General features: G+C 35.8%; 1 protein-coding gene across 21 annotated transcripts in view, besides 1 other annotated feature; it reads right to left on the bottom strand.

Moving 5' to 3' along the window:
• THUMPD2 (THUMP domain 2 tRNA and snRNA guanosine methyltransferase) overlaps window positions 1-19,191 on the bottom strand; it is a 43,217-nt gene extending 24,026 nt beyond the window's left edge. For 3 of the 21 annotated variants that reach the window (NR_135662.1, NM_001321469.1, NM_001321475.1), the window contains exons 1-6: window positions 19,029-19,191; window positions 11,430-11,555; window positions 9,625-10,034; window positions 8,339-8,416; window positions 5,972-6,024; window positions 1,246-1,333 (exon numbers count right to left, since the gene is read on the bottom strand). Coding sequence is in view for 14 of the 21 variants with exons in the window: in NM_001321469.1 (NP_001308398.1) it covers window positions 1,246-1,333; window positions 5,972-6,024; window positions 8,339-8,416; window positions 9,625-10,017 (612 nt within the window). In the remaining 7 variants the exon portion in view is untranslated. Of the gene's footprint in view, window positions 1-1,245; window positions 1,334-5,971; window positions 6,025-8,338; window positions 9,107-9,624; window positions 10,035-11,419; window positions 11,556-19,028 lie in introns of those variants that run through there. The other 18 variants (NR_028102.1, NM_001321474.1, NM_001321468.1 and 15 more) reach the window with 11 other exon arrangements.
• Window positions 11,861-12,841: an enhancer, noted in NCBI's record as "NANOG hESC enhancer chr2:39999086-40000066 (GRCh37/hg19 assembly coordinates)". NCBI's record gives its function as "activates a minimal SCP1, AML or CMV promoter by ChIP-STARR-seq in naive H9 embryonic stem cells {active_cell/tissue: H9 hESC(naive)}" and the evidence as "EXISTENCE:reporter gene assay evidence [ECO:0000049][PMID:30033119]".

The following is a 19,191-nucleotide window of genomic DNA, read 5'->3' on the forward strand; positions in this document are numbered from 1 at the left end:
TGCTAAGAACTTTTGAAACCCAAGAGCATACTCAAGGAAAGTTCTGGTACATAATAAATAACTTAGCTTCTCCAGTAGTTGGGGCTTGGGAGAGAAAGGGGTAAAAATGTTCAAAGGTCTCACTGTAGAGAGGAGAAGAGAAAAAAGTACTCTAAAGGTCTCATCTTATGACAGGGAAGAGGGGGAAGTTGGGGAAAATTGGAGTGCCTTGGTAAAAACGGTGTGTCTTGGCAGAGGGAGTAGTTGATGTTCTGTTTTAAATTAAGAGTAGAGTCATATATATTTAGTTAAGAGAGCTGGGAAAAGGACTGTAATGGAATAGAACAATGAAGTAAAATCTCTAACCACAAAGAGAACAATGAAATGATTAGCAAGTAACTTGGTCAAACTAGCGAAAATAAGAGAAGGAAACAAAGTGTGAGAAGTTATGAACAGAATAAAAACAGGAAGAATATAATCAAGTCTATCTGTCACAACATTTACTGAATTCTCTCACTGAAAGAGAGACCATCAGAGTGGAGTAAAAATAGCTATGTGTTTGTAAAAAATATGTAAAGTTGAAAAAAAAGCAGTGGCAAAGAAATACTAGGCTGATGCAAACAAAAAGGAGTGAAAATATTAGTAAGACAGTGAGACTTAAATTTAAACTTAACCAAGATAAAGAGGACTTAAGTAACAAAAAGGCACACTTCACAATGATGTATTGATAGTCATGAACATGTATATACCAAGCCACATGACAGCTGAATAATTCAACAACTCATAAAAATGCAAAAACTTAAAAAAATACAATATGAGATTTCAAAAACTTCTTTCAAAATGGAGCAGTGAAACACACAGTAAGTAAAAATAATGGAGAACATTTCTTCACTAGAAGATAAAGTCATCTTATGTCCATAGAACATTTACAAAAATTGACCAAGATCTTGGTCACAGACAAAAACTTTAAGAATAGGAGGTTTTACAGGCCACATTTTCTAACTGTGACACAAAACATTAGAAATAATGAAATGTAGCTAACTTTTGACTCAGCTTTTTCAGAGCCAAAATACTCTCAGAAGTTCAATAATATATAAAAGCATTACTGCAGCAGTTTGTAAGTACAATGGCAAAAAGAAAAGAAGTTAAAGAAAAAGCGTCAAGAAAAGAAAAAGCAAGTAACATAAATATCCATCAATAAGAGACTGTATAAGTTAATTATGAAAAGAACCTTGCTATTAACAGGAAGGAAAACATTTTTCTTACCTTAATGTCAGCCAGAGATGCCATTGCCCACGCTATTGTAGATCGCAGTCCAGCTGTCTTGATGTAAGCTCTGCTGGCTAGGGAAACCCTACAAAGGATAGAATCTGATTATATATTATTACACATTGAACAACAAGATATAAAAATGATTTACCTGTCCAAATCTGAGAATCATTTAAACATATTCATCCAACATACACTAAAGTATTCCCTAAGTTAGACAATGTTTCAGTCTTATTACAAAAATTGCTTCTCTAATGGGCACCTTGTCTACCCAGCCAGTGTTGAATTTCAGAAAGGTAAATTTTTAGACAACTGAAATTTACACTCTCACGTATTTAATGTATAAAAATGTAATTACACATGAGGAAAATCTTTCTTATACTTCCCTGTCTTCCCATACAGAGTAGACCTTTTTTTGCTATTTGAAGTCATGAAGGGGAATGTACTATTTTGTGATATAAATGTAGTATGGGAAGTAGAACTGAAGGGATGCTAACCCTTAAAATCTGTTTTCTATAAAAAGTCCCTTTTGTAGGTTTGTTTTTTGGTTATTTGCATCTTTCCCAAAAGATGAAATGAAGCATGACATTGCATTGTCTAAAATAATTTACTGGATGATGGGCCAAAGCAGACATCTCCCAAATGAGTTCACTGGTCTCCAAAAAGCATCAGTTCACACTTTATCCTCCACCTCATCAATGCCACTATCACATCAATGTTTCCAGATTTGATAGAAATTTTCAAAATGTCATCTATTATTTCTGTCTTTCTAATGCAATGAACAAGCAGAATCTCCTTGGAAATTACAACTTTCCAAGCTTTTCTAGTTCACTTCTACAATTTGTTGGTAAGGTACGAAGACATGATGTCAAGAATTTGTGTGGGTTTGTCTTGGGGTTGGCTTCTTCCAAAACCAGCAAAAGAGGTCTTCTACGAACATTACGGAAAGCCATGATTTTCTTCAAACCCTCCTTAAGGTTGTTCAACAGAATTCTAGGTATGTGAATATTAAACATTTCTTTCTTTCACCATTTTGCCTCTCATCTTTCTTTGACTTTAACTTATCCTGTTTTTGTATTTATTGCAAGCCTCTTAAAATCTTAGAACTAAATGATATACCCCTTTAAAATAAAACAGTGTAATTGTATACTTGCTATTATAATGAGGAAGTTCTACATGGCAAACCCATGGGAGTTTGGCTTTTTAATAAAGTTTTTTCAAGAAACAACAATTCACATTGTAAACAGTACTGTATATATACATTTGGAATGAGGGATGTAAACTGGCAGGTAGAAACACTATAAAATATTTTGGCCAGTGAATTTTGCTTCTACGGGGTAAGCTTAGCAATTATCTTGCTATAAAACAGTTTGCACTCTAGATACCAAAGTTATAAAACACAGTTTGCATTCTAGATGCCAAAACTATAAAACAGAGTTTGCATTCTAGATACCAAAAAGGGAGACGCAGTATGGGAAACCAGCTTTGTCCATATATATGAAAAAATGCTCTTCTAAGCAGCAGGAATTTATATGGAACCTTTCAAAGTTTCAAAAACTATGTATATATTTCTGCTAATAGAAGTTTTTGTGGGACATAATTCTATTAATATTTGACAAAAGTGAATGTTCACATTTTGCTTAAACCTGGGCAAAATTATCTCATTACTTCAACAAAAGGGCCCCATTATATCAGTATAACAAAATTATTCAGAAGAAGGCACGTTCAGAAATAAACTCCTTGAAAATAAAAATAATGCTTTACTTTCAGAGAACCTAGCTAATGTACACGGTTCAAAAATAAATGTGGTTTTTGATCCTCTTCTCTGCATGTGTGCATTTTTTTTTCTCTTGTACACCTTGTACCACCAAGACAAAGACGTCCTAATCTATATCTCTAGCCTAGACTTGTTACCTGAACCCCAGATCTTTATCTTCAAATATGTGCTTGAACATTTTTATGTGGAAGATAAGTAGTGCAAAGTCAACAGGTATAAACTGAATACACTATCCTGGATTTCATATATTGATACATTTCTTCATTTTCTTGTGCCACGTACTATCCATATATTGGGTACCATACTCTACCTCTTCAGTCTACACTTGTCACCTGAACTCTAGATCTGTAACTTCAAATATCTACTTGGACATTTTTCACTGAATACACTGTTTTCTTTCCCTACATTTTGTATCTCAGTGACTAATACCAGTATTTACTAATTGTTCAAATCAGAAATCTGAAATTATTCTAGACTCCTTAACTATTTTTTGATTTCATGGCCTTTTTGTTACCTCCAAGAGTTTAAATCCTCTCCTTCTCTCTTTTTATTTCCCTTTCATTTAAAAATATAATTTTCTTGGTAATTTTTTTGAAATCACAAATCTGATCACATCACTCTTCTGCTTCAAATTCTTATTGCTTTAAGGATAACATCCAAGCTGTTTAACATATTTACAAGGCACTTCATGGCTTGTTTCTAATTTTCTACCACTTTCTCTATGTCCCATTTATACTGAAACTACCTGCCATCCCCCATGTAAATCAAACTTCCTTATACATACTTAAACAAGGCACTTCATGGCTTGTTTCTAATTTTCTACCACTTTCTCTATGTCCCAACTACACTGAAACTACCTGCCATCCTCCATGTAAATCAAGCTTCCTTATACCTTGTGCCTTTGCACAGAGATTCCTTGCCTGTAATACCCTTTCCTTCTCTTCTCCATGCGGCATACACTTTCTTATTGCTTTCAAGTCTCCTCTTAGGGACAATCCTTTATCTTTCTGCTCACAGGTCCGTAATTAGAGTTAGTTTCTCTTTCCTAACTCTAATCAAGCATTTATCACAGATCTGTGCTAACACTGGATTGAACTGTTTCAAAAGTTGAAATTTATTCAATGCTTACTGTATCCTAGAAACAGCAGGAAAGATTTTCACGTGGGTTATCTCATTTAATCCCAAGGACGAAGCTATAAAGTAGGTACTATTATTTTCCTGATTTTATAGCAGAGAAATATGATAACTTGCCCAAACTTGCAGAGTTATAATAATTTGTGGAGAAGATAGAATTCAAGTCCACAGTTCTTATCTGCTATGCTATACTGTAGTAGGTGATGTGTACAGAGTGGCAACAGCTATATACAGTTAATGCTTCATGGGGCTATTGATATCCAAATGGTTTTTTCCTTTAAAGAAAGTAAAACTCAAATATGAACAATGTCTTTAGGAACTTAGGACAAATTTTTATGTGATCCTTTAACTTCATGGTGCTCTCTACTTTGTTTCATCATTTCAGACTTTCTTCTGTTGTTAGGGTCACCAGGTTGCAGTTTCTGTTATCCACTGTCACTTCTCTTGTCCAGTGCTATCTGTTGTGCAAGTCTTCATGTCTCCCTTTTCATGTCCCGGTAAATTGTTCTTTTTAGCCAACACTCATCACTGAGACTGCTTCCTTCCTACACTGAGGTAGTCAAACTGACTAAACACAGAGCATCTGTTGTAACCTCATTTTCAACTAGTGCTCATTCAAGGTCTCAGTCTTAATTTTCAGATACATATCTTTTATTTGTAAACTTCAAGGTACACTATCAATTATTATTTGAAATGCCATGGCATGACGTCTTGAATGTTTCTAGCAAGCATTAAAATAATTTTAAATAATCAAATACCTTTTAAAAAACATTAATATAAAGTTATATTAGTTAAATAAGAAGCACAAAATTAAGCATTTTTATATATAATAATTTAAAAATGAGTTATTTTATTTGGTGGTAAGAATCTAATTAATACCACACTCAGCACTGCTACGGGTGAGATACTCTTCCTAAATTTTTTTGTTTTTTTGAGACAGAGTCTCACTCTGTCACCCACGCTGGAGTGCAATGGCATGATTCTGGCTCATGGCCACCTCCGCCTCCTGGGTTCAAGTGATTCTCCTGCCTCAGCCTCCTGAGTAGCTGGAATTACAGGTGCCTGCTACCATACCCAGTTAATTTTTGTATTTTTGGTAGAGACGGGACTTCACCATGTTGGTCAGGCTGGTCTTGAACTTCTGACCTCGTGATCTGCCTGCCTCGGCGTCCCAAAGTGCTGGGATTACAGGTGTGAGCCACCGCGCCCGGTCCCTAAGTAAATTTTTTAGATACTTAGGCTCACTTTTTGGGGGTCAAAGTATTAAAAAAAAAATTAACTACTTTATAAATTTAAAAAAATATACATTTTATATTTTGCTTGTTTTGCTAGTGTTTCCTACTTTTGTCTTGGTGATCATCAATAATTATACTTAATATAATTGCTAAAATATGTCCATCTTTTCGTTTTCTCCACCCTTTCTGTCTTTAAAATTGTCAAAGAATTTAAAAAAACCATATAGGCAAAACTGTTCAAATTAAAGGCACTGGAGTAGGGCAGCCTAGAAGCCTTTTAGGTATAGGTATAGGGCTGTGAAAACCATTTAATAATAGAACTAGATATAATTTTCAGTATTAATCATGTAATCAGTAGATTACCATGACCAAATATTTCCCAGCTCTAACTGGTCAGTTCAAATCATATCCACTAAGTTCCGTGAAAATACTTTATTGTCTTAAGCAAAGAATTCAAATGCTTTGCCTTTAGCCTTCTCTGTTATATGAATGCTTCATTCATGCTGTAAATAAAAAACACAAGTTCTTAATTTAACCATCTGTCTTATGGGACAAACCGGAAGCTTAGAATATCTACCTGAACACAGGAATCCCCACCACAGAGTAAATGTCATTTAGATGTATAAAGATCTGAAAGAACAAACACAGAAGTTAGAATGGAACAAGAAACTTCATTACCAAATTACTGACAATTTGAAATTTCCATTTTAAACTTACATGATCTATGTTTTAAAAAGAAACTCCAAGGCCTTATTCATCATATCTAGAAAAATGTTCTATAATCTTTTTTTTTCTTAAGCAGAAGGAAACTAAATTTTAAGTACATTTCATAGAAAAATTCTGAGGTCAATTTATTATATAGGAGAGTCATGTTACAAAGAACTCAAAACCAACTTTCTTCCTAGAGATTCTAGGAATTATCATAAGTGGACCACGCTTTTCAGTATTTTGCGTTGAGAAGATTTTCTAAATCCACCCTCATTTTAACCTCAAATAGGATGCGAGGCCACACAGGACTATCAGAGGCTGCAAATACTTTCAGGGTAACAGAAAACTTTGTTTAGGCCAAATATATGGCAGCAAGGGTGCTGTTTTCTCTATAAGTTTCTGTCTTTCTTTATTTTCTTTCTTCTGTTAGGCCATGAAGAGTATTTAAGCGCCCCACATTATAATTAGTAGCCAACATAAATTTTAAAAGCTAGAATCTTACTTTTGTAGCCTGATAAGGTTTACAGAATATTTTAAATGCTGTTATGAACCTCAAGAATATCTGGTCCCTGATACTCGCACCCCAAGATAACTTTAAATATTAACAGCTTAATCAGAATTATTCCAATATTGATCAATTTCATCAAGAAAAGACTTACCTGGAGTGATTCCATTTGGTCAATTTAATTACCTGATTAACTGATACATCACAGCTAAACTTCCCAATTTTACATATTATGCATTTTAGCAAAACTATTTATTAGAATTGTTTTCTATTGACAATTTATTCTAAAGATACGACATGTTCATATATCAAATGTTATTAAGAATAGCCTCTCCCACTATAAATGTTTTCCTATCAATTTTGCAGAAGGAAATTTGTTGAGATTTGATTCCTCTGTCAATTTTTTAGTCACAAATTTTACTACGTGTGATTTTTGTGTTGCCAATTTTGTGTTAATTATTTGTATCCATAATAGCTATTATTAATTGCATTAAATGGCTGATAGGAATTGAATTTGCTATATTTATTTATGAGATAATCTATGAGAAAAACAATTCTGAGACAATGAGATGGACTCAGGGAGATGGGGACGAGAAAGCCAGAGAGAAGATGATTAAGAATTGGAAAGGGGGCCGGGCGCGGTGGCTCACGCCTGTAATCCCAGCACTTTGGGAGGCCGAGGCGGGCGGATCACGAGGTCAGGAGATCGAGACCATCCCGGCTAAAACGGTGAAACCCCGTCTCTACTAAAAATACAAAAAATTAGCCGGGCGTAGTGGCGGGCGCCTGTAGTCCCAGCTACTTGGGAGGCTGAGGCAGGAGAATGGCGTGAACCCGGGAGGCGGAGCTTGCAGTGAGCCGAGATCCCGCCACTGCACTCCAGCCTGGGCGACAGAGCGAGACTCCGTCTCAAAAAAAAAAAAAAAAAAAGAATTGGAAAGGGGCAGATAAGAGAATGATACTCGTATGTCAAAACATTCTTGGGATCAAAACATTTAGTATGACAAACAATAAAAAATATATACCAGGTATTATTTTTTTAAAGTGACAAATGTCAGACAAGCGCAAATCTAAAAATAAAACAACACACAATGTTCTGATTTATTTGGCCAGTTATTACTCCATTTAAACCTACATAACAAGTAATAAATAAATTTATGAATTAATGAATCATGAAAATGATTGGTTATACGTCAACTTTATAAGATGGCTTTCAAAAAATAGCAAAGAATATTTTTTGTTTCCCCATACAAATACTTGTTTGTTCCAAATAAAAATACTGTAACCTTATTAATTTTGGAAAATAAAAACATAATCCCATACCCATAACAAAGCCACTATTAACATACTATTGAATTTTGTGTAGGACTTTGTTGTTATCCATTTTTTTAATATTAGCTAAAATTTTTAAAATCACAGATTGTGTGTATTATAGAGACTATAGAGAACATCGCTGTAACCTCATAATAAATGTTTTTTTCTTCAACTGTGACCAGACAACTCCATTCCAAAAAATCTTTTTTTGGAGTTTGCATAAGACATTTTCTCAGTGAAAACTGCTAGCAAAACTATCTGTACTATTCTACTGCTAAAGATAAAATGGACTGTTGGATCCCTGTAGATACACTTTTTATAACTGTAAAATAAAACGGAAAAGTATGATAAGAATACAGGACACTGTCTTTAAAGAATTAGGTTACAAGTATATAAAATAAAACAAATACTCATTACCTCTAATTGTGGATTCCTCAAGTCTGCTTTCCATCCAAAGTGTTTCATAATAGCAATTCCAATTACTTTTCCTACCTCCTGGAAAAGTACCAAGTTAAAGAAAAGAATACTAAAAATGAAAATTTTAAGTTTAAATGTCAGCAAAACTAACAGAGTAGCCTATAAGAAAATCAAGTCAGGCTATCTGATGGTAATTTAGAGTTCTGATATTAAAATTGTACATGAAAGCATTTCCTATTCAAGGCAGTAAGGCTGTATTTTACCTGCCCTAGCCCCCAGTACACCCCATGGCATTAATGTCTACTCATGCATAATCTCTATCCTTGTAATTTTAGGTATATGAAATAACTAGATTATGACCTGATAAATATGATCATTCTGGGTTTCAGGAAATAGATGCAAGCTGAAAGATTAACTATGTCAGCTACTATAAGCCTATGTGTTTAAAAATTATCAGATTAGTATCATTAGACTCACCCTTTAGGGTTTGACTGATTTTAAGGTTGATAAAGTATTCAGACCAATGGCCTTTAACATCACTGAACTTTGTAAGGGCCAACTGATGAGGTCTGGTGATGGCAACAGTTTGTGGTGTTCGCTCTTCTCTACATTGCTGAGACCTCATGTGCATTTGCAGTCTAGGTCCTGGTGACAATCCCATGTACAGGACCTGTGCAGAGTAGCCACTGAATAAGCACAAAGCTGAACTGAAGAGAAACCCCAAAAGCTGAGGACTATGGTATCAGGATTTCCAAATACAAAGGACATCTGTAGATTTAAGGAAATTTTTAGGCAGAAAGTATAAGAAAGTCATTACTTGGAATGGCATACCATTCCTCTTAAACATCTGAGGAAAAATTAAAAGGAAAATGTAGTTTTAAAGACATTTAATTCCATAAGAACTAATTGTCTGCGGCTAGTTATTTGTTCTGTGAGAGGTTTGCATCTCATTTTAAATCTAAAGAATAATTAATTCTTTAAAAAATGGGACCCCCAGGCCAGGCATGGTGGCTCCCGCCTGTAATCCCAGCACTTTGGGAGGCCGAGGTGGTTGGATCACTTGAGGTCAGGAGTTCCAGACCAGCCTGACCAATATGGTGAAACCCTGTCTCTACTAAAAATACAAAAATTAGCTGGGTGTGGTGACGCACACCTGTGATCCCAGCTACTCAGGAGGCTGAGGCAAAAGAATCACCTGAACCTGGGAGGTGGAGGTTGCAGTGAGCCAGATTGTGCAACTGCATTCCAGCCTGGGCGACAGACTCCACTTTAGGATGCAAGCATACCTGTGCAGTGAAGGCCTTTCCAATAGTTCCACTGCAGCGACAAGATACTCTGAAAGTCAAGTCATTCTGATTATGAGTATCAATTGCTTTCTCTATGTCATTCTGAAATTCTTCTTCTTGAAACTTTTCGCTTTTAGTGGTAAAATCTCTTTGCTCCAGAGTTTCTTCTTTTATTTGTTTTTCCAGCTGGCAGTCCCTATTCTCTTCTATCTTTTGCATTTGTTCTATTTTTAATTTCTTTGCAATGATTTCATTTTCTCCCACTTTTCTTTTTAGTTGGTTATCATCTCTCTGAGAAAGTTTTTCCTTTTTTGCATCAAGTTCAAGAAGATTTTTCCAAATTGAAATGGCATTCAACCAACTTCCTGGATCTTCATTTATAAGTCTTTGCATTTCATTAAATATTTTTCCTAAATAAGAAAAATCTTGTTGATCCTCTATTGAAGCTTTAAAGACCATCTATTACAATCATCACCCTCAAACTCAATTACCTTTATTTCCTTGAATTAAGTTTTATTAAATTGCTACACGAATAACTTCACTTTCATTTGGAGTTCATATTCCATTTACCATAAGAATATTGTGCAGAATAAAGTTCATTCTTACATTGCATATATAGCATCCGTATTGTGTTAAAATTCCTATAGAATTACCATATAATACCCTAGAAAGATTATTTGTGCTATGGTAATATATGTATCTCTTCAATATATACATAGACCTAGAGTGTTTATCAATCTTTGAAATAATGGTGATCTTCCCTATAAAAATTAAGTTTTTATAAGAAAAAAATAAACTGAAAAACTCAGCTCAGAAACAGAGGAGCTGAATCTTGGGCCTGTTACATTTTAGCCCACACCATATTAATAAGTATATTATAATGTGTTTCCATAAAGTAACTCACAACCCATTTATAGCTTAGCATACTGCCAGTATGCTCAGCAAAGTTTAATCTCTTCTTGATGAACCACAGTCATCAAGATGATCCAAAATTACTGTATTTCTTTAAGATGAATGTGTGTAGAGTACTAGGAGGAATTATATTGATCCCACAGTATAATACTTTGGGATTTGCTTTAAAACAATTTTCTCTGCTTGGTCTTGATTTCTTGCCATTTGCATCTTTCTTAAAATAGTTTATTATAGGCTATAAATACATGATCTCTTACGTAATTCAAATTGAAGTTTACGGCAGCATTTAATCCTGCAGTGTCTGACCATGTTTTGCTGCTTTTATCAAGATCCATATGTTGTTTTAGCAGCATATTTATAAAATTTAGAGAGTGGACAAGGAATCTCTTATGCCCCCTTTACCTCTAATGCTTGGTAAGTGGGCATAAGTTTATCGAAAACATTTAAGGTCCTAGAAATATAAATTTTTACTATGCAGTATTTTTCCAATTATATCACACAGTTAAAATTTACAAGGTGATGATTTTCACTGATTTACTATTAAAAGAATGCATTTTGGATTAGTTCATGTTTCTAAATCCAAATAAATGCAACTGACCATATATATCTCTAGAGAAGGTACCTGATCATAATTCTCAAAGAAGAAATGTGGCTTAGGACATTAAAATCTCATTAAAAAGGCAGCACGCAGGTTGCAAAGAGAAGAAATATTCTACTACAATCAGGTGATAATATTCAGGAAATACAGAAAAATACATAATTAATGATCCCACACATGTCAATGAATATTAAAGTGTAAAATGGCTACATATTATCAAGCAGAAAATGTTGGAGTACAATGTATCATGTGGGTAAAAGCAACATGCATATGAATATGCCATACCTTTACTTACAGAAGAAATAATAAGTGGAAACTGCTTTTTAATCAGCAAAAATAATCTTTCTGCAGATTTTAATTTCTTCAACATATTCAAATCAGAACAGGTGGTGAAAAAAACCTTTCCTGAAATATATTCAACCTAGAAATAGAAAAACAGCTTTTAATGTAGTCCAGTGTCAGTGAAAAAACCATATTTTTTCCCTCAAGATATAGCATCTAAATTAAAAATAAAAATAACCATTTCTGAAGTATCTACTATTTGTCAGGCTCTGTACTAGGAACACTGAATAAGTATTTTCCTCCTTATCCTTATAACCACCCTCTAAGGTAGATTCGATCACCACCAAAAGTAGACAAAAGAAAGGTATAATGTATTGGACAAATTAGGTGTCTAGCCCAAGATGGATATTTATTGAAGACCTACCTGTAGGCTACCAGGAAGCATAAAACATATATCCTGAATAATAACAGACACACACTGACATACACATTAAAACATAAGATTTATAAGACAATAACTTGAATTAAATCCAGAAGAAAACTAAAAAGTTTTAACATTATAATGCACTGACAAGCTGTAAGTACACTAAGTAGCAATGACTATGAAAGCCGACATTACAAAGAGTCTTGGGAAAGAATCCTGTAAGATTTGAGAAGAAGGATTCTAACAAAAGAACAAGGGGCAGATGCGGAAGTGGGGGTGAAAACCTGGCTGAAGTAAACTGTAAGCAACATTTGCTTTATTATGCTGATTGATAGTGTCAGGTGGATGGATAAAGTAGTTTAGGCCAGCTTGACAAATGGTCATGAAATTTTGAGTACCACGAATGGTAATGGTCAACCATTATAGACTTTTGATGAAAACTGTGACAGCACTGAATTAGCTGGCAGAAAAAATTACTCCAGAAGAGGCATAAAGGACTGAGTGTAGAATGTGATGCTAGAGGGAGAAGTAGGTTACTAAGGTAGAAATGATGAGATACTTGGCTGCAGAAACTAGATAATGAATAGAAGCAAGACATATGCATCAAACAGAAACAGGTTTTGGAGACAGGATGGATATGTGGCAAGAGAAGGAAAATGAAAAGAGCACTGACTCACAGGAAGCCTAACATGCTGTGACAAATGGTGCTCAATACCAGTGGAATCTTAACTCTTTTAGGGTCAACCCAACCCTCTTAAGTCCAGGATGGATGTGGGCTTTCTTGGAATTCTCTTTTTAGCAGTGGCCACCAATTGAATAACATGGTTCTAAATAATCTCCTAGAACACAGACACCAGGGAATGTGGGGTTTCCTGTGTGTTAAGGCAGCTACCATCCATGGGTACTTGAACTCCAAGGGTTTATGCTTGTTTTGGATCTGTCAAGATCTAATTAAGCTCTTGGAATGGTAATTTCTGGGGTTGCTACTCCAGGCTGATGAAAGAGAATCTCTCCTGAGGAAGTGCTAGATTGGCACAGTTAAAACTCAAACAGCTGACAGCAAAGCACTGACCAAAATAGATGGAGGAACAGACAATGACATTATGGGAGGAAGCAGGGAATGAAAAGAATGTTTAGGAATCAATATATAAGGGGATAGTGAAGTAACCAAAACCAGAACTTCCGGTTTCTAGAATTTACTTCTTTCTCATTACATAGGTGACATTTTCCCAAAACTAAAGTATATACTTCAAAATGCTTAGAAACTTGAAAACAAAGTTTCAAAAAGTAAATTATCAAAAATTCAGATTTTGTTACCTGACATAAGAATATAGTTGATACTAAAGCCATCATAGAACAATTTAACAGATGAAATACTTTACTAAGATTCTGGGGGAACGAACTAAATATTTTACTGAAAATGTATGATTTTAAGTTTCAAATTCTGTAAACAAGTAAAATGATGCAAACATCTAGACCAGTGACTTTAACCTAAGTAGCCAGTGATCTAGATATTTAGTTACTTATTTGTACAAAGATCTTCTTTTCTTATTCAAACATCAAGGGAAGCATTTTATCCGATGAGCTTTCTCTAACACACACACATATATAAAATATATATTTATATTTAAAAATATATATATATTTATATTTTAAAAATATATATATATTTATATTTTAAAAATATATATATATTTATATTTTAAAAATATATATATTTCCCCCTGGGGCAAGTGGTTTCCAAAAAGAACACGACTATTAAGTTAATTAAGAGGACCCAAAAAGTTTATTTAGAGCATCAAATCATAAGAATAGTATATATTGGTGCAGTAAAATGCCAAATACATTCTTGAAACCCAAAACTGCAACATTATTCTAAGAATTATACATTCTCAAAACCAAAAGCAGCAACATTATTCTACGAATTATCATAAGGCCTACATTTCTTGTAGAATAAGCATATTATCAGAAGTACAGCAGGTCCTTGAATAACACTGTTTCGTTCAACATGGTTTCATTATGATATTGATAAGAAAAAATACCAATTCCCAGCCAGGGCTACTGTCTGGGTGAACCATGTCTGCATAGGTTTTCTCTGAGTACCCCAGTTTCCTCTGACATCCCAGAGTGTGCCTGTTAGGTAACTGGTATGTTTACGTGGTCCCAGTGCAAGTAAATGTGGGTGTGTGTGAGTGTGCCAGGCAATGGGATGGCATCCTATGCAGGGCTAGTTCCCGCCTTGTGCCCTGAGCTGCCAAGATAGGATCTGGCCAGTGAAAACCCTGGAATAACTTAACTGGAACAGTTGGATAAATAATTATCTTACTTGTTTTTATCAATCTTTCTTAAATGTATGTATAGATTACATTTATTTCAATGTTTAACATTAGAAGTGTTATTTCAGCGTTTACTATCAGAAGTGTTCTAAATAACCTATTTAGAAGTTTGTGAAATTTTTGTGACCAGAAATATGCTATAGGAACTCTTGTTTATTTCAATTAGCCTATGGTAAAAATGATTTAATTATACATCCTTTTGCTTGAAGTCACAGTTTCCAGGAACCTACGGATGACATTAAATGAGGACTTACTGTAGTTTAATAGATTGTAAAATAGTACTCACTGTGAGAATCAAATAATCCTATCTGTGAATGCACTTAAACAGTTCACTCTTTGTGAAGATAGGTATGATACCTTAAAATAGTAGGGAGAATGAATTTTGGTGCTTATGACTTCAAAAACTGCTGAAGCTACTAATTCTCTTTTTCTTTACTGCTTGTAACTGTTCATATTTAATACAACACTCAGAGAAATAAGGCATTTGGAATATTTCATTCTCATGTTTCTTACCTGAAAATTTATTTATATATACAATCTGTTTTTTTCTATCTAGAATGAAATCATAACCAAGTATCTAAAAACAGCTGGTTTTATGTATAACACTCCCGAAGATGAAGTAACAGCCTTGATTAATAACAGCTCTATTATCTGCTAGCATATCTAAACAGCATTTTTCCTTTCTTTTAAAATTCATGGATTCAAATTTAACACAAAGATTAAAAGTTCAAATCTAGGCTGAATGTGGTAGCTCATGCCTATAATTCCAGTGCTTTGGGAGGCCAAAGCGGGAGGACTGCTTGAGCCCAGGAGTTTGAGATCAGCCTGGACAACATGGTGAGACCCTGTTGGTACAAAAAGTAAATGAGCTGGGCACAGTGGCATATGCCTGTAGTCCAAGAGGCTACTCAGAAGGGTAAGGTGGGAGGATTGCTTGAGCCGGGGAAATCAAGGTTGCAGTGATCTGTGATCACGCCACTGTTCCCTAGCCTGAGTGACAGAGCCTGATCCTGTCACGATTTTTTTAAAAAGTTTAAATCTATGCAAAAACACATCATGATATAGGGAGGTACCAAAGGTCTCCTAATTCTACAGATGCCATTTAGTTACAGAATTAATTTGAAAGTGCTACGTGATGGGTTAAGGTGTTGTTTGAGTTTGTTTTGGTTTATTTTAGAAGAAGGAATTCAAAAATATGTTTCACTTAATTTGTAAAAAGGGCATTCAGCTGGGCATGGTGGCTCATGCCTGTAATCCCAGCACTTTGAGAGGCCAAGGCGGGTGGATCACTTGAAATCAGGAGTTCAAGACCAGCCTGGCCAACATGTTTAGCAGAAACCCTGTCTGTACTATAGATACAAAAATTAGCTGGGCACCTGTAATCCCAGCTACTTGGGAGGCTGAGGCAGGAGAATCGCTTGAACCCAGGAGGCGGAGGTTGCAGTGAGCCAAGATTGCGCCACTGCACTCCAGCCTGGGCGACAGAGTAACACTATGTCAAAAAAAAAAAAAAAAAAAAAAAAAAGAGGCATTCAATCTAAAGGGAATGCAGAAAATCTTTAAGGCAACCTTATGCAATTATTCCATTAAATGAAAATAACTATGGAATAACTTGACTTCCTGCTTAATTCTACCCTATTACCCTCGACTGTGATGCCACCATTAAAAAACAAAAATTTATGTGGCCTATTCAGGACCTGTGTTAATAGTGTTTGATATGTGAGTTTATAAAGATCAATGAATCAACTGACAGGACTCTTCTGGTGAACTGACATTAGAGATATCTCTACAACATTCAATTTTATCTTAAAATAACTGATCCTACTACTAGTCTTACAATAAATAGCAGTACTTAATAATACATTAAACATCATTATGAAGTAAAGCTTAATTTTTCTCAATATATTACTTTCTTCAAAGTAGTCTAAGTGATATGTGTTTGTAGATATGTAAATTAAATATTTAACATCATCCAGGGACTTATGAAGAAATTTGCCATACAACGAGAGGGGAGAAAAAACATCAAACCTGAATCTGACCAAGTTCTAGATAAAACTTACAGAATTCCAACTTACAGGAAATACAGAGGATAGAGGAACATGTTAAACTACACCATAGAGACTCAGTATACTATTTTTTTTTTTTTTTTTGAGATGGAGTCTCACTCTGTCACCCAGGCTGGAGTGCAGTGGCGCGATCTTGGCTCACTGCAACCTCCGCCTCCAAGGTTCAAGCAATTCTCGTGCCTCAGCCTCCCGAACAGCCGGGACTACAGGTGTACGCCACCACACCTGGATTTTTGTATTTTTAGTAGAGACGGGGTTTCACCATGTTGTCCAGGCTGGTCTCGAACTCCTGACCTCAGGTAATCTGCCCGGCTTGGCCTCCCAAAGTGCTGGGATTACAGGCATGAGCCACTATACCAGGCTGGATTCGGCATACTATTTTGTTTACTTTTGTATATTTTTGAAATTCTCCATGATAAAAAGCTAAAAAGAATACACAGGAAATTTTCCACTGCAAACTGTGTGTTGGGAGTTCTCTGAGAGGGGAGCATGTTTTCATGTTAAAATGGTAGCACCTGGGCTTATCAGCCACCCTACTAAAAGAAAACCTTTTGGGGCTGGCACCCAGAAATACTCATTTTCAACAAGCTTCCTCAGTGATTCTTATGTTCATGAAAATTGGAAAAACACATTAAAATGAAGTGATTACTTTCTTAAACAATCATTCTTGAATTAATCTGTTTTGTAAATTTACATTTTAGAGTGTTAATTTCCTTGATGCGATCCAAAGTTTCTAACACTCTCTTATCATTGAAAGAATGTTTTAAGTATTCCTGTACAACTCATTGTATGGGAACTAAAATTGAGCACCAACTATTTGTTAGGCAGCATGCTACCTGTGCTATCTTTATTTCAGGGACTGCAGTAATCCTTTAAAGTAGCTATCATCTCTATTTTACATCCAAGAAAATTGAGGCTCAGAAATTTGAGTAATTTGCCCAAAGTTACAAATCCACTAAAGGAATATATAAGATCTGCACACAGGTCTTTTGATTCTAAAGACCATACGTACTCTACCGTGGTGTTACAGAAATAAACTACATCCAATGTTCCAGGGAAGATTCCCATGGTAATTTAGCCTAGTGGTAAAGCACATGGGCTTTAAAGCTAGAGAGACTCAGAGACAAGTCCCAATTTTCTCTTTTTTTGGTAAAATATGGAGGTAAAAGTCTATCAGATAGGAGTCTTTTGAGGATTAAATCATAACATGCACATAACTTGTCTAACATTTTAAGTGTTTAATAAATGTTAGTTGTCATCACTGTTATTTCAGGATTGCCTTAACTTTGAGAGTTCACTTTGTATCAGAGCAACTTGGGTGGAATTTCAGAGATTATTTGTTCAGATCCCATTTCCAGACCTATCTATCTTTCAAACATACAAGAGCAGAATATGGAAATTCCCAAATCTACTGGCATTTAATTACTCCCACTGTCAAAAAGTTTTCCCTGTATTTAATTGAATTTTCTTCCTGGTAATAAAGTTTTCCCCATTTCATTTGTCTTTAGAGAAGATGGAGAACAAGCAGAGAGTCTTTCCTTTTTCTAATAATCCTACATATTAATTGGGCCAAGCTCTCTCTCTCTTTCATACCAAGCACTCTAAGTTAGCATTTAAAAAAACAAGCCAGCGCACCCCTATGTCATGGTCATATAGTGGGCCTGGTTTGAACATGATTATATACTCATTCTTGATTTCCCAGCTCGGGTTTGAATCCCATCTTTGCGATTTTCTAGTTGCATGACTTGAATAAATTCTCGGACTTACCTGTGCTTCATTTTTCTCATCTGTTAAATGTGGAACACCTACCTTATAGGGCTGTTGTGAAAAGTACGCAAATAAATATAGGGTAAAGATCTAAGAACATGTGCCTGACACATATTAAATGTTCAATAAATGTCAGTAGTTATTATATATTGATGCTTTTTAAGATTAGCTACATTCAATACTCTATTAAATTCTGTGACCCAAAACACAAGTGGCAGGTAGTCTAACAAAACTGACATAATTCTTCACGACTCCAACCTTTCACTGCAGAAACTCCTTTTGTGGGCTTCCCACACTGTAGGAGCTGCCAGGGTGGAGGGGTTAATTTCATTTAGGAAGCTCTCCTTTTCCAAGAGTACATCACTCACAGTGTCCCATACACCCCATCAAGATACCTTTTCTATTATACCTTCATCCCCTACTTTCAAGAAACCAGTTTTCAACATTCTAAAACCTAAACCGATGCTTAAAACCTTGTTCATTTCACAGAAATCAATAACAGATAACTATGAGGCCTGCAAGAGTATATTATTTTTCTGGCTGCTATTTACTGCGTGTTTAAAGTGTACTTTGCATACGCTATATAATTTAATTCTCACAACAATCCTATGTAGTCAAATACAATCACTGTCAAGAAACTAACAAAAAGTCAGGTAACTGAACTTGGAGATTATGTTTGCATTTAAAGAGCGAAGGGTTCTAACTCTGACAGGCCAGATTCTAATTACAGGCACTACTTACTACTTTAAAGAATCCAGGAAATAACTTGCCTCAACACCTCTCTTAAAAACTTGAGCCCTGAGAAGTGAGGAACTGGATTTGCTATACAAGGAAAGAAAGGAATGGTGGCTTCTCTCGGCCGGAGCGGAAGCGCCTGCCAGTCAACCTCGGGGGTCGGCGACCGTCGCGTGGAACAGAGAGGGGCGCCAGCGACGCTTTCCCGCGTCCACGACTGGGGTGGGCAACAGGGCAGGGACAGGGCCGCCCACCTCCCCAGGCGCGCAGCGAGGCCAACTCACCTGCGTGGCCGCCAGCCGCGCCCGCACCTCTCGCATTACGAACGGCTCCAGGCCGCGACCCGCAGTGCAGAAGAATCGGGCGCCAGCCTCAGGCCCGGACCCTGGCTCTCCACGCGCCTCCGACATGGCGGCTCAGGCGCGCCCTCGCGCCTTCGGGTCACGT

This window comes from Homo sapiens, chromosome 2, assembly GCF_000001405.40.
Source record: "Homo sapiens chromosome 2, GRCh38.p14 Primary Assembly".
NCBI classification, from domain to species: Eukaryota; Metazoa; Chordata; class Mammalia; order Primates; family Hominidae; genus Homo; species Homo sapiens.